Source organism: Homo sapiens, chromosome 17, assembly GCF_000001405.40.
Source record: "Homo sapiens chromosome 17, GRCh38.p14 Primary Assembly".
In the NCBI taxonomy this organism is placed as follows: Eukaryota; Metazoa; Chordata; class Mammalia; order Primates; family Hominidae; genus Homo; species Homo sapiens.
The window spans coordinates 48,048,209-48,062,084 of record NC_000017.11 but is presented as its reverse complement, the minus strand read 5'-3'; the positions used below and the strand labels follow the sequence as shown (position 1 = coordinate 48,062,084).

The window sequence follows — 13,876 nt, the reverse complement described above, 5'->3', positions numbered from 1 at the left end:
ATTACAGCTCTTCACAGGGCGGGTAGTTGAGCAGTTTGAGGGAAAGCAGATTCTAGCCCCCTCAGCTGGGGAGGTTTCCCAGTGTCCTAAACCTTGGCCTCCTGCTTCTCTTTAGTGGCCCTGCTCCTGCTTAACACAGTAGTGCTTGTCACATGTTAGTCGCTGCCATGGATTTCTCAGGTTTTCAACATCATAACTACACTCCAATTCTCTGCACCCCTTTGGCAGGTGAGGCCAATAGAAAAATAACAGCACAGTTGAGTTTAAAAATGTAGTTTGTAGCAGGTGGACAGGTAAAGAGCTGGGTTAAATGACACCTCCACCTATCCTAGCTGTATGAGAATAAAAAAACTCCGAATCCTTCCTGAGAGGATTGAGCTGGCTAACCCTATGAAGTACATGGTGTCTAATGCCTGCCCCCAAGGTTTAATACAATATTTAAGACTTGCCTTTTGAAGTTCCCCACTGTCAACCTCCCCAGTTCTCCACCCATCTTCCCATGTGAGCTCTGCCTTAGCCACGCAATGGCCAGTCCTCCCTACAATGAGTCCATTTCCTTTATTCTCAATTTAAATTCAAAGTGGGGAAAAAGTGCACTTAAGAATGAATCATCCATTTTATTTTATTTTGTCATGTGCTCAACAGCATCTCTCTCTCTCTCCCCTCTCCCTGGCAGGTCACAGAGATAAATTAAAAATAAAATCTACAAGGAAAATAATTTATAAAAGCACTCCCAGGTTCACACCTTCTATCCCTACTGCTCAGTTAGGCACCCCCTAACTGGGAATCAGTGCTTCCCCCCACCCCCATTTCACTCCCACTTGTCTGGGGCAGACGGTACTCCAGAGCCGGGCAGGGGTGAGGGCAGCAGTGGCAAACAGTTAAAAATAAAGACATTGTAGTCCTGGAACCATCTGGCCACCTTGGCACTCCCATGTCTGCCTCCCCCAGGCAGCCCTCCAGGAGCCTGTGCGAAGCTGGGGCTGTGGAGAAGCTGCCTGTGGCTGAGAGCTTGTGTGTTTGGGGAGGTGCTCTCAGCCTGTCATATGCACTTCTCAATCTTCTAGAAAGAAACCCAAAAAAGAAAGCAGACGACGACCTCGGGACAGAGGAGAAAAATCCCAAGTGTTCACACAGTTACACGGAGTCTTTATGGCAAAGAGAACATTTAGCAGCTTTGAATATTGGGCATCTCCTTTTTACTCAACACAAGCATTCTAGACCCTATAAGTGAAACAGGGCACAAGCCCTAAAAAAATCAAAGCGCAAGAAATTCTAAGAGGACTAGTTCTTTTGTTGTTGCTGGGTTGTGTAATTTTTTGTGTTTTCCCAGTGATAAGCCCAGTTGTTGGTAGGCAGAGGCCCGAGGGAAGGGTGACTCCCCAGTGTTGTGCTGAATCCTGCCTGGAGGCTGCTACACTAGATTCTCCATCATTCCTCTGCCTCACAGCAGTCCCAGAAGAGGAAGGCTGCAGGCCCAGTTCCCGGAGCACTGCCATCACCCTACCCCAGCTTACAGAAGAGCTCAGGCAGTCTGTGAGGGGTGGGGAACACAAACACCGGACCAGGGGAGGACGGCATACACATGCAGGCTCTGATGGAGACAATGGGAGCCTCAGCTCAGGGGTGGCTGGAGCACGGAGGGAGATGGAGTGGCAAGGCAGTGAATGACATGCGTGATGTTGGGGCTGTTGCAACATGGGACCACGTGACCCTTTCCTGTTCACTCTACCCTTTGACTCTAAATCTCAAAGCCAGTGTTGGGGCCCAGTGGCTCCATTCGATTGAAACATGGCCAATGATATCCAAGAGCTCCCCTTCAGGGATGTCAAAATGCAAGGAGCAGAAAGAGTTAACACCGTCCCTCCCCACCCCCACCCTGTGTCTGTGTACCCCACCCCCCCCGGGGTGAAAATTGGGGTTTATCACACCAGTGATCTAGGCCCACCAGTCACTCCAACCTGCTGCCTGGAATCCTGGCCAGAGCCAACCTTAACCTTCCCTCTGATTTTCTTCCCGCTTTGATTTTTTTTTCGGGGGGGGGGGGGTTCCTTCCTTCCTTCCTTCTATCCCTCCTTCCTGAAATGAGACTTTCTGCCACCTTCCCTTCCTCTCACAGGTCCATTCCTTCCCCTCTGTCGGCCTTTGCTCCACATAGCTCCTCTACCTCCAGCAACTCCACCACCACCCCTGCCTCACAGGAAAGGGGTAGGGTGAGGACCCTGTCCGTCTAAATGGTCTGGCCACTTCCACTCCACCCGAGTGGAGCTGAGCCAGCCAGTGCCTGCCTCTTCCTGTACACTGACCCGCAGTCATCCCATCTGAGAAGATATATTGGATAAGAAGGCATTTAAGTCCCCGCTGTAGGTCCAGGTCCAGGTCCAGGTCCAGCCCTTCTCCAGTTTCGGTCTTGGTGGGCTTCAAACCCCCTTCTTCCCCAGGCTCACTTTCTCCGGTCCTTTGGCTTCCTCTCCTGCCGCCGGGCCTGCTGGTCGGCCATCGTGCGGGGGATGAGGAGGACACTGCCGTCCCCGGCGTACTGGAGCGCATACTGACTGGGCGAGTAGGGTCGTCCGTTCTCATCTCGCAGCCGCCCAAACACCTCCTGGTACAGGCTCTGGACCTTCTGCTTCATCTGTCGCAGGGAGCGCAGGAACTCCACTTTCTCCCGCAGCAGCCGGGCTTTGTCACGCTGCAGGTCCTCCACATCACGCTCCAGATTCAGGATGGTGTCCAGCTTGCGCTTGCGGCAGTTCTGCGCCGCCATCTTGTTCTTGCCCCGGCGCCGGATGTCTCGGATGAGGCTCAGCTGGGCTTCACTCAACTGGTATTTGGACAGCAGTTCATTGAACTCCTCCACAGGCAGGTTGATGATTTTGTCATTGGTGAAAGGGATCTTCATGGCTCGGGCTCGGTGCTCATCCCGGCTCATCTGCTTGTCCAGGAAGTCAGCCTGCTTCTCCTTGCTGCCTTTCTTGAGGGCACTGGGTGGTGGCAGGTCGGCTGAGTCCAGGGCACTGGGTGCCATGTTGTATGTGTGGTTGTGGCCCACGTGCTCCAGGTAGGGCAGGCATGAGAGCTGAGCTGGATCCTGGTAGCTCATGCGGCAGAACTTGGAATACTCAGGCTGGTAGCCCACAGCACCCTCGGCCTCTTCCAGATCCAGGGTCTCAGAGTCAGAGCTGTAGCCAACCGCACCTTCCTCAGAAAAGGAGGAAGAGGCAGAGGAAGAAGCAGAGGAAGAAGAGGAAGAGGAGGAGGAAGAAGAGGAAGAACTGCCTTCAGAGCTGCTTAGGGAAGAAGGGCTATGGCTCGAGTCTAAGGAAAGGCCTGAGTCAGAGTCAAATTCCTCCTCCAGCTGGGAGGCCTGCACAGGGTTAAAGCCTTCTTCAATGGCCAGGTCCATAAGGCTGATCTCATCCAACATAGCTTCATCTAACAGACCCCCCAAAGGGTCAGGCAGCTCTGGGCCTGCTGTGTCATTGGCTGTGCCATTGAGCTGGGGTGGAAAGAAGAGCCCTGTCAGGTTGGTGGAGCCGAAGGTGGAGTTGAGGCTGGTAGAATTGCTGGGGGCCAACGGGAGCAGCGTGGAGCTACTGGCCACAGGCAGGCTTTCCACCTCGGGGCTGAAGAGTAAGAAGTCCTGGCTGCAGCCCCCCAGGGACGCCTGATGCAGGCTGACATTCTGATTGATGGGAGTGTTGGGGGCAAGGCTGTAGTTGGTGCTCAGTGGGTCTCCAGGAGGGGCACTGTACAGGATTTCACTTGCTGATGTGTTCACTTCCATGGCCTGGGAGGGGAGAAGAGCACCACTGTTCACTAGGAACTGACTCCCTCCCCTGGGGCTCACACACTGCAGGCACCCAACAGAGGCACAGCTGCATGGGTGTAAAGGCAAAATACTATAAACCAAAGCCCACAGTGTCAGCTCCTGACCCAGCTTCGTCCACCAGGCCTGGCAGAGATGGGTTCTTCCATGTAGGCTCCACCCTAATATAGGACTGATCAGCTTTTCCTCATGTTTGGCCAGACTCCCCCATCTTGGAGGGAGAGGAAGAAAACACTACCTTGTTACTGCAAAATCAGCACAGTGAAAAGAACACCCAGACTTAAGTCAGAAAACCTAGCTGCACCACTTGCTGTGTGACGATGGGCACATCATTTAACCTCTGAGCTTCAATTTCCTCACCTTTGAGATAAAGGCTGACTAGATGACTGTGAGGGCCAAGTGAGCGAACGATGGCTGTGAAGCACCATGTGAATGTCAGCTATTATTAACGCACAACCTTGGAAGCATTCAGCCAAGTGCCTATCTGCCTGAAGGAAAGGAAGAAGGCACACCCAGGAGGCAGGCCCTGATTTGGAAGGCTGAGTCCTGAGTTTTATTTAACCCAAACCCTACCTGTCTCCAGCTCCCATTGCCCCAAGGACACACCTGGACAGGTTTCTTCTCATTGTCCCCACTTCTCTATGATTCAGGGAAAGTATTACACTTTCTCTCCTTGGAGATGGAAAAGCAACTGAGTGCTAAGACAATCTGTGCAAAATCCAATAGGTTTGTGCCCGGTTCCGACAATCCTACCTGCATTTCCATGATGGACATGAGATCTTGCCACTGCTGTTCCAAATCAAATGGTGACTCTGTCCCGGTCAGAAGAGGAGACAAGAGGTTGTTTTGAAGAGCAGGGGGCTCACTCTCACTAGGCACTGCTTCTGTTATGCTGGAAATGTCTGCTGGAAACTAGGGCAAAACACAGAGGCTTTAACAAGGGGGAAGGAAAAACCTTGTGCTTTCCTCCCAGAGATTACCACCTGGACCTGTTTCTGTTCTTCCTTCCTCTGCATTTACCCCCAGCAGCCAGAATAAGGCCAGAACCAACAGCTGGCCCCTCAGCCATGGAGGGACACACCAGGTACAGGCTGCCCTGCTCACTTGGTGGACTCTCACTGGAGTCCTGCTCACCTCAGCATTCTCCCCAAAGGGGCAGGTGGCTTCCAGCAGCCTAAGGCACTCTTCCAGGGACAGGGCCGTCTGGTCCTCCCCACTAGGCACCTGTGGCAACAGGAACTGTAAGTCTGATTGACCTGGGCCTTGGCTGCCTGGGGCTGAAGCTTCTTTCCCAGAATGGCTGAAGCCCTGCAGTCTCCCTCCCATTCCCAGGCTAATGGCTGGCCCCGAGTCCCAAACTCCCAGAAACAACAGAAGAGAGTGAAAGAGTCCTGAAGCAAGCAGGAAGATGCTACATGCTCTGCCTCCCTTGCACTGTCTGTTGCCACGGCCTGGCCATTCTGCATCTGCTGCTTTCCACTCCCCCCTTCCAAGGCTCAGCCACTGTGACTTACAGACCCCAACCCAAAACAGAAATTCAGGTCCACCCCACACACCACCTGTCTTCTCTAAAGGAAGTTTCTGGAAGAACTCCAGCCTGGTTTGTGTCAGGGTAGTAGGGACAAGAAGAGAGCCCAGTGAGCAGGGGCGATGGTACCTGTGCAGGGAAGCTCTCCCCAGTCTCTCCATCCACTAGCAGGTTCCGTGCCAGAGCTTCCGCGCCCTCGCCTGCCCAGGTGTCCTGCTCGCCTCCATCTCGCAGCTCCTTCTCCACATCCTGCTCCTTCTGGCGGTGACTATAGTCAAAAACCTCACGCCCAGCCCCCAGATCAATATCCTGTCGCCAAAGGATGTCAATCAGATCTATGTCCTGAAAGACAGATCACATGACTTTAGCTCTAAGATCCCAAGGTCCCTTCCTTGTCCTGCCCCTCAGAGTTCCCTCCTAGTGTCACCCCAGTTAGTCCTGGGTGGGGCCCCTCCCAGCTCTTCACCTGCCAGCCTTTACCCCCTGGTCCCTGCACCAGCAAGTGTTCATTCATCTACTTCCAGACACTATCCCCTTCCCACAAAAAAAAAGAGCCACTAGCAAAACCATTAGTGTGACTATCACCATAAGGGTGCAAAGGATTAGGATCTGGACCAAGACACACCCAGACAAAAGGCAGGGCCGCCTCCCCCCTACATAAGAAAGAAGGGGAACATCAGGAGACACCTCTAGCTTTGGGGATTGGACCCCTTAAAACTTGGTTTGGAGGAAGCTGGCCATGGCAAGCAAGAGCGAATTGTCATGCAGAATTACTTAGCAGTGGCCAGGCTTGCATCAGCCTGTGGTACCATTTCATTTGCATAAAGGGGTGGGGTGGGCTAGAGAGGAAAATCCCTGCATTTCCAACCACCTGATGCAACCAATGACAACGCCATGCTGTCTCCAGCCCTTCCTATAGCCATTCCCCATTCCCCAGCTGGCAGCAAGAGTAAGGCTGAACACCCACAACTCCTCAAGCCCAGGCTCACCTCAAGACTCATCCCCGCCAGAATTCCCTCTCAGCTGATCCTAGCTGCTGCCTCCATTCCAGGGAGGCTCAGGCAGTCAGATGATCCCCAGGGGTGCACCCCACCCCCTGCTCGGGCCAGCCTCACTGTGTCCCCTACACCAGTGCTCTCATTCCCTCACCATACCCCAGGACTCACCAAATCCCCATCAGTCAACCCCCTCAAGGACATAAACCCCATCACTGCTCAGCTACAACTGCCACCTTGGGCACCAAAAATGCTTCCCTCCCGCTCTACCCTGGTGGCTCGTGAACAGTTGCTGCACCAACTGCCACCCCCACTAACAGCATATAACCCCAATAAATAGAGCTATTTGGGCTTCCTATACATGGCACCCCCCTGTAGTCGAGCCCTCCCTACAAGCCTGAAGAAACCCTAAAGTGTTGCCTTCCATCCAGGGGTTAAAATGCAGACATACACTTTCCAGAAAGCAATTTCCTTAGATCAGACCCTCCTCCCTACCTCTAAGTCGGTATTCTTCTCCCATTAACCCCCCCTGACCCTAAGACCTCCCAGACGTACTACTTTAGTCTCCCCACATACACCAACCTGAACAGAAGCCCTGGACCCAGGAGCAGAGGCGGGCTGGGCCACCCGGTGACCAGCCAGCAAAGAGTTAAGGGGCCGGCTGCCTTTGGCATGGCCCCCACCACTGTGAGAGCTGCGGTCCAGGCGGGTCATGGTCTGCGAGATGAGCCCCAGGGCAGCCGGTGCCGGGAAGCCGGACAGGGGGCTGCAAGGAGCTCTTGGCTTTCAGGGAGCACACCAGGCTGGAAGGGTGGCCCCTTGCTAGCTCCGAGGGGCCTGAGGAGGGTGCCCCGCCCGTGCTGCTGCCTGGGCGGCCCAGCCAGCCCCCTTCCTCCATCCTTGAGCAGCCCCCTCCCACCTCACAACCCCAGTTCCACTCAGGCGCCCAGCTGCCCCCACCCTGAGCTCACCGCAGAGGCTGCAGTGAGATGGGACTCCCACCCCATGCTCCGTGCTCAAGCTGCAGAGGAAAGCAAGCTCCCTCCTGGGCCTATCCTCCCGCTCCTCCCCCCCACGCCCCCCAAACTTGTTACCTAGGCTGCAGCAGGGAGCCAATCCCCACCCCCTCCCACCCCGCAGGTCACTGCTGAGGCTGCAGAGAGCCAATCCCCTCCCCCAGGTCAGCAGCTGGGCTGCGCAAAGAGCCAATCCCCTCCCACTGTCGTTACCTAGGCTGCGCCGAGAGCCAATCTCCTCCCCCAAGTCTCCGCTGGAGATGCGGAAGGAGCCAATCCCCTCCCACCGCCTGTTACCTAGCTGCAGACGGGAGCCAATCTCTGCATCAGGGCAGCTGGAGAAGCTGCCGCAAGGAACCAGCCCATCCCTGGGCCGCCTCCGTCTCCTTGAGGAGATGCGCCCAGGGGCGGGCAGCCCCACCCAGCCCAGTCAGTCAGCTGGGGTGGCGCAGTGAGAGCCCTGGGGGAAGGGGTGCCACTCTCCTCCCTCCTGTCGCATCTTGCTCATCCAGCCCACTCAGGACTGGGCAGACACTTCTCCCGCAGATTCTCTGGGAATCTAAATTATTTGCTGGAAGTGGAAAGAGTTATCCCATTCCTCAGGAAGGCAGTGGCCAGTTCTCAAGGCCAGGGATCACGAGCCAGGCTGGGCAGGAACCCAGGGCACCCAGGCCCACCATAAGCCGTAAGTTTTGTCACCCCAAAATAGGCCAGACTAGAGAAAAGGGGAAGGCCATTTTGCCCACGTGCAGCAATGTCACAGTGCTGGCCAAGCCTAGCCCCAAGCAAGAGGAGGGGAGACACAACCCTGAAGCCCCATACTTAGGGAGACAGGTGCTCTGCATTCTCCTGGCCACAAATGTCCCCCCTCCCCTTTCACCCCGGCTTTATTCAAGAGCATTCTCTGCCTGATTCCTGGCCCATATCTCATCCAAGCAGGAAAGAAGCCCCTCACAGACTCAGTATCACAATTCAGACTCCCTGGATTGGTTTCTCGAGGGGAAATTTAGCTCCCTCCCCACTGCTGCTCCCCTGGAGCCTAAGGTCAGGTCAGAGAGACAGTATGTTCTCTCTGGTCACAGTCAGCTCCTAGCCTGGAAAGAGCTGTAAACAGGCCACCCCCCTGCTCTGGGCAGAATGCCAATCTCAAGGGGAATCCTATCCCTGACAACAGCCTAGGCTATGGCTGTCCATAGAGCAGGCCTGGCAGCGGGGGAGTACTGCCACCCCAGGGATAATACCGGTTCCAGCAGTGCCTGTCACATGCTCTGGACCTGGGTATTTTTATCCCTGAGTTGCTGAGGAAATGTTGTTCTAGACACATAATAATCCTCCCTTCCCCCATACCCAGCCTGGGCCCCTAATGCTGACCCACCCCACCTCCCAAAGGGAGTTATAAAGGCCTGAGATGAGGAAAAGCACAACCTTCACGAGGGCCAAGAAACAGAGGAAAGCAGGGTCAAAGTCCCATCCCATTCGGCCCCAACCCACCCAATAATATCCAAAATATCCCATCCCATCCCAGCAGGAACAGATATGCAGCTACCCTGCAGGGTTTCCAGGAGCAAACCCAGTTACACCCACCCCTGGGGGAGCTACCCTGGGGGAGGAGCATAGAGCAGAGACTGGGAAGCACACTTCAGAACACTGTGCCAAGATTAGAGCCCACTTGAAGGAAAGGGGAAGCAGAAGAGAGGTGAAGTTCCAAGTGGCCCTGTAAGAAGCTAAATTAACAGGCCCTGAAAGGTAAGAAATGTTCCTGGCTCCTGCGCTCAGATAATCCTAGTCTCTCTCAAAGCAGGTCCAGTATGAGCCATTTGAGCACAGAGCCGAGTGTCTCAATCCCTGCACTACTGACACTTGGGGTCAGACAAATCTGTTGTTTGAAGGTGTTCTGTGCCATTCAAGATGTTAACCAGCATCCTTGGCCCCTACCCACTAGGTGCCAGTAGCAACCCCGCCCCAAGATGTGACAACCAAAACTGTTTCACGATATTGCCACCTGCACCCTCGGGGACAAAATCACCCCCAGTTGAGGACCACTGGCCTAGAACAAGCCATACTCTTTGACAGTCACTAACAGTCAGAGAACTAAGCTCAGGAAAAGACTACAGAGCAGGGAAGGAGGGAAAACGTGGTCTGACCTGGCAGGCAGAGAAGCCCATTTCTGTAACATCTGTAAAACTTTTTACATTCCTTCACATGCCACCTCCAAAAACCCAATCGGGCTTTCTCCTTCCCTAATGGCCAGGGGAGTGCAGTGGGCCTCTTTCCCGGCTACTTAAGGCTGGATGGCAAGCGAGAGCCATACAAACCCAGAGCTCAAAGCAATCTTATGTTGGTGAGGCAGGGGCAGCAGCAGCCATTCACATCTTGAAAGGCAAAGAACTGCATCGCTTTCTGCCCAGAACAGTATGTCAGCCATGTGACAAGAGCTAAGGATCTCTTCTGACAGCTCAAAGCAAGTTGACTTGGGCAGCAGAATGCAGTTTCTCTTTCTAGCTCCCAGACTTCTCTTCCCTACTCCCTGCAGTGGGCCTTTTGCAAAGATTGGAAGCCTTGGCCCTCTCCTGGCCAAGAATAACTATCCAAATCTACCCTTTGGCTCAGGCCCAGGAGGTCTGAATTATCAGGACAATACAACAACAGGCCTCGCCACAAAGGAGAACTTCAGGGTATGTCTGTGTTCTGATGTGGGGGGAGGTACAAAACAAGAGTCCAAAAAGTATTTGTGTCTTAGCAACAGATGTACACTGCATCAAAGCCCATCACAACATGACTCCTCCCCCACCCCAGGCCTCCAGCAGTCACGCTGAAATCCAAGCAGTAAACACCCTGGCATGTGTAGGAACCTCCCACTGCCCTGACAGTACATTTAGAGGTAGGTCAATGGTTCAACACAGGGAAATGCTCCCAGCCCCCAATCCTAAAGTCAGAAAGTTCAGCCCATCCCTACCCAAGAACAGTGCCTGAGGCCCTGCTGAAACCTGTCTGGCTCTTTACAGGGCTCAGTGTTCTGACCACAATCCTTTGGGACCAGCCCACCCCCAAGCCCCAGGCCCCACACACCCACCACAGGTCCACTAACCTCTTTGGTTAAGTCTCCACTGACTGGGGGGGCTACAGCCCCCAAATCCTCCAAATCTTCACCGAATCCCTGCTCCGTTTCGCTTTCTCGCACCCCGTTGTCTGGGCCTGTCACATCTTGGAGGCCACTGGAACTCTCGAGGGCGAGGCCTGAGTTGGGCTGACTGCCAGAGACAGACCCCTCTGGGTCTCGGTGAACCAGCCAGGCATTTACCTCAGTGGTTGGCACCTGGAACCTGTCCAGGGCCCTCACCTGACTGAGGAGCCGCCGGGCAGTGAAGTAATTGTCCAGGTCTATGCTCTTGGGGTGGATACCATAGCCATCCAAGGTATTCCTCAGGTTGTGGAACTGGGTCTGAGTATAGGCAGAACTGGGCCCCAGGATGATCTCCCGGAGTGGGGGAAGCTGTGAGGTCAGGTAAGTATCCACGTCCACCCGTACCCCAATCAAACTCAGCAGAATGGTGAACTGGAGAAGTCCTTCCGTTAAGTATTTCTTCAGAGAAAGCATTGCTGAAGGACCAGAATGTTTATGCTTTTTGGTTTTTAAAATCTTCCAAAAGACAAATCAAGGCCACTGCTCTGCCGCTCCAGCCAGCAGGTTACCCTCCTCAGTGTCAAACCCCGTACCCCACCCTGGCAGAACACAAGGGATGAGCTCCCTGACGGCCCCAGAGGAAAGCACACCCTGTGGAGCCAAGGCCAAGGACACACTCCAGACCACATTCACTTTCCCTTCTCGACACCTCACCTCTGAAAGTACAACTGTTCCTAACCCAGTCCAGGTCCTCAAGGGCCCACGTGACTTACTTTCTCCACAGTCCACATACAGTCACTTCCTCACTCACATTAGTTGTCCTCTCTGTAGATTCCAATGCAGGCTGTTCTCAGGAACAGCTGATGGATTTTTTTTTTCCTTCTCCCTCCTAAGGTTTATTTTCTTTGGCTGGAGCTACAGGCCTTTCGTCTTGGGTCAGAGTGTCCCGCCTCCTCCACACTTACCAGGGGGGTTTCCAGAGAAACCTGAAATGGGAATCACAAAAGCAACAGGATAAGATTCCATACTTTTCACATCATGATCAGGGTAGGAAAACCTTCACAGTAGAAGGTAGAAAACACATTCAAAGGACACTTTCACTTTTTTTTTTTTTGAGACAGAGTCTCACTCTGTCGCCCAGGCTAGAGTGCAGTGGCGTGATCTGTGCTCACTGCAACCTCCACCTTCTGCATTCAAGCGATTCTCCTGCCTCAGCCTCCCAAGTATCTGGGATTACAGGCGCCTGCCACCACGCCCTGCTAATTTTTGTATTTTTAGTAGAGATGGGGTTTCACTATGTTGGCCAGGCTGGTCTCAAGCTCCTGACCTCAGGTGATCTGCCCGCCTCGGCCCCCCAAAGTGCTGGGATCACAGGCGTGAGCCACTGTGCCTGGCCTAAAGGCCACTTTTACAGGAAGAAAGGACTACTTACACTCTCAGAAAAAAAACCCAAAATATAGCAACCGATCATAGAAGAACTATCAAAGAAAGCTACTGATCACGAATGATCTCAGTTACTGAATATTAAATGTGCAATATCCTAAAATGTAGCTTGGTTTGAATAAGCAGACAATAACCAGGTCATCCAAAATATCTTACACCTTTGTTTTATTTACCAGCCCTCCTCCCCCACTACAGGCGCATTACCCAGCTTCTATTTTCACATGAGAAGCCCATTTCCTGTCTTAAAAGTAAAGCTGGATTTTCACCCCTCGGGAGAAAACCACCCATAACAGTTGTCTTTTCTCAGTTCAAAAAGGCAAGATTATTAAACAGTGAGAGTGTGGAAGGACAAAAGGACAATGTTCAGGCCACCACTTCACCCAGAAGAAGAATGCCTTTTGTTTTCTGAACTTTGAAATCTGATTTCCCTTTCCTATCCTCACAACTTACAAAAGAAAAAAAAGGAAAAGGGCCGACGCCTGTAATCCCAGCACTTCGGGAGGCCGAGGAGGGCGGATCACCCGAGGTCGGGAGTTTGAGACCAGCCTGAACAACATGGAGAAACCCCATCTCAACTAAAAATACAAAAATTAGCCGGGCGTGGTGGCGCATGCCTGTAATCCCAGCTACTCGGGAGGCTGAGACAGGAGAATCGCTTGAACCCAGGAAACGGAGGTTGTGGTGGGCCGATATCGCGCCACTGCACTCCAGCCTGGGCAACAAGAGCAAAACTCCGTCTCAAAAAAAGAAAAAAAAGAAAGAAAAGAAAAGGAAAGAAAAAAAGGAGAGGGATGGTGGGGGCCCTACTACGCAGGACTATTCCGTCCAGAATTTGCATAGGCAGGTTTTATTTTCATTCATATGACCTTCTGAGCCAAAGCAGAAGGATATGGCCACGTTCTCTAGCCAGACTGCCCAGTGCAGAGGAAGTAAATCTGTTTCTGGTCTCCACTTTTGAGCTTCCATTAATGTCACAAACCAAGACATACCGCCTCTCCTCTCCTGCGTTGTGACCCATCTACCAACTTCATTCTACAGGGGGAGAGCGAGCTATACGTACACACACGAACGTGCGCACACACACACACTCACACTCCCTCTCTCTGGTCAGAGTAAACACAATTGCGACCCAGAATTCCTGCTTACGCTACCCTCCCGTTCTCACGCAATTTATTACTAAAACCTCCCAGGAGCCAATTAAGTTCGAGGAACCGGACAAAGTCCCTTAAAAATCAAGTAGGTGCAGGGCCCATAGCCTGAGGCTGGTCCCACCCTGCCCGGATACCCGAGTCCGGCTGAGACCAAGTCGCCATGCCCACTCTCGGCGCCGGAGCTTCTAGCCTCCAGGGGCGGCCAGCGAACAAGTGCTACTTCCCTGGCCTTGACCCACCCTTACAGCAAACCCCACCCCGCCCTCCGTCCCGATGGCCCCACCCCACTCCCAAGTCCAGGCCTCACACCACGCCTTCTCGTGCCCTCAACCCTGCCCAGTCCATCCCACCCCGGAGCCAGCTTTCCTCTCGGCCCCGCGCGGGGCCCCTCCCTGTCAGGCCCAGGGCCGGGCTCTGGCGGGAACCCCGCTCGGCCCCCGCCTCCTGCACCTCAGCACCATCCCGTCGCCCCATAAGCCTCGGCCCCGCGGCGCTGCAACCCTCCCTTCTGGGAAAGGAATGTGCCCGATACCCACTGCTTAGCTCGGCGTCCGCCGCTGCCTCCACAGCAGGCCCTAAGCCCGAGTCCCGGCCTCGCCGCCGCCACCGCCGGCCGGCCTAGAGCTCGGAGCCTCCGCTTACCTCCCCGCCCCCTCCTGCTACCGCACTCGGAAACCCGCCCGCCGCAAACACCCTAGGAACAGTTTCTCCAATCAACGAGCCGAGGCCGGGGCCGTCGACGGATGTCCCTCTGATTGGCAGCAGAGAGGGCCCAATGGCTGAGTGTACC

General features: G+C 54.1%; 1 protein-coding gene across 8 annotated transcripts, besides 8 other annotated features; it reads right to left on the bottom strand.

The window, feature by feature from the left end:
- Positions 1 to 539: 539 nt before the first annotated feature.
- NFE2L1 (NFE2 like bZIP transcription factor 1) lies at positions 540 to 13,726 on the bottom strand. Of its 8 annotated transcripts, none has more exons than NM_003204.3 (6): positions 13,623 to 13,726; positions 10,457 to 11,478; positions 5,487 to 5,699; positions 4,964 to 5,053; positions 4,583 to 4,741; positions 540 to 3,790 (listed from the first exon to the last, which is right to left on the bottom strand). In NM_003204.3, the coding sequence occupies exons 2-6, from the start codon at positions 10,964 to 10,966 to the stop codon at positions 2,444 to 2,446; spliced, it is 2,319 nt and encodes a 772-aa protein (NP_003195.1). In that variant the 5' UTR covers positions 10,967 to 11,478; positions 13,623 to 13,726; the 3' UTR covers positions 540 to 2,443. The 8 variants fall into 8 exon arrangements, with proteins under 8 accessions (NP_003195.1, NP_001317190.1, NP_001426081.1 ...); NM_001330261.2 differs by having other exon boundaries at positions 5,487 to 5,666; NM_001439152.1 differs by lacking the exon at positions 13,623 to 13,726 and adding an exon at positions 13,221 to 13,304.
- Positions 4,401 to 5,260: an enhancer, noted in NCBI's record as "NANOG-H3K27ac-H3K4me1 hESC enhancer chr17:46134187-46135046 (GRCh37/hg19 assembly coordinates)". NCBI's record gives its function as "activates a minimal SCP1, AML or CMV promoter by ChIP-STARR-seq in primed H9 embryonic stem cells {active_cell/tissue: H9 hESC(primed)}" and the evidence as "EXISTENCE:reporter gene assay evidence [ECO:0000049][PMID:30033119]".
- Positions 5,261 to 6,118: an enhancer, noted in NCBI's record as "OCT4-NANOG-H3K27ac-H3K4me1 hESC enhancer chr17:46133329-46134186 (GRCh37/hg19 assembly coordinates)". NCBI's record gives its function as "activates a minimal SCP1, AML or CMV promoter by ChIP-STARR-seq in naive H9 embryonic stem cells {active_cell/tissue: H9 hESC(naive)}" and the evidence as "EXISTENCE:reporter gene assay evidence [ECO:0000049][PMID:30033119]".
- Positions 5,261 to 6,131: a biological region, named in NCBI's record as "OCT4-NANOG-H3K27ac-H3K4me1 hESC enhancer GRCh37_chr17:46133329-46134186".
- Positions 5,862 to 6,131: a silencer, noted in NCBI's record as "fragment chr17:46133316-46133585 (GRCh37/hg19 assembly coordinates)". NCBI's record gives its function as "represses an EF-1alpha promoter that drives an FKBP-Casp9 reporter gene in an ReSE screen in HepG2 liver carcinoma cells {active_cell/tissue: HepG2}" and the evidence as "EXISTENCE:reporter gene assay evidence [ECO:0000049][PMID:32094911]".
- Positions 6,979 to 7,838: an enhancer, noted in NCBI's record as "NANOG-H3K27ac-H3K4me1 hESC enhancer chr17:46131609-46132468 (GRCh37/hg19 assembly coordinates)". NCBI's record gives its function as "activates a minimal SCP1, AML or CMV promoter by ChIP-STARR-seq in primed H9 embryonic stem cells {active_cell/tissue: H9 hESC(primed)}" and the evidence as "EXISTENCE:reporter gene assay evidence [ECO:0000049][PMID:30033119]".
- Positions 13,147 to 13,748: an enhancer, noted in NCBI's record as "H3K27ac hESC enhancer chr17:46125699-46126300 (GRCh37/hg19 assembly coordinates)". NCBI's record gives its function as "activates a minimal SCP1, AML or CMV promoter by ChIP-STARR-seq in primed H9 embryonic stem cells {active_cell/tissue: H9 hESC(primed)}" and the evidence as "EXISTENCE:reporter gene assay evidence [ECO:0000049][PMID:30033119]".
- Positions 13,317 to 13,596: a silencer, noted in NCBI's record as "silent region_8648". NCBI's record gives its function as "represses an Ori minimal core promoter by ATAC-STARR-seq in GM12878 lymphoblastoid cells {active_cell/tissue: GM12878}" and the evidence as "EXISTENCE:reporter gene assay evidence [ECO:0000049][PMID:35858748]".
- Positions 13,749 to 13,876: part of an enhancer, noted in NCBI's record as "H3K27ac hESC enhancer chr17:46125097-46125698 (GRCh37/hg19 assembly coordinates)", that runs on past the window's edge. NCBI's record gives its function as "activates a minimal SCP1, AML or CMV promoter by ChIP-STARR-seq in naive H9 embryonic stem cells {active_cell/tissue: H9 hESC(naive)}" and the evidence as "EXISTENCE:reporter gene assay evidence [ECO:0000049][PMID:30033119]".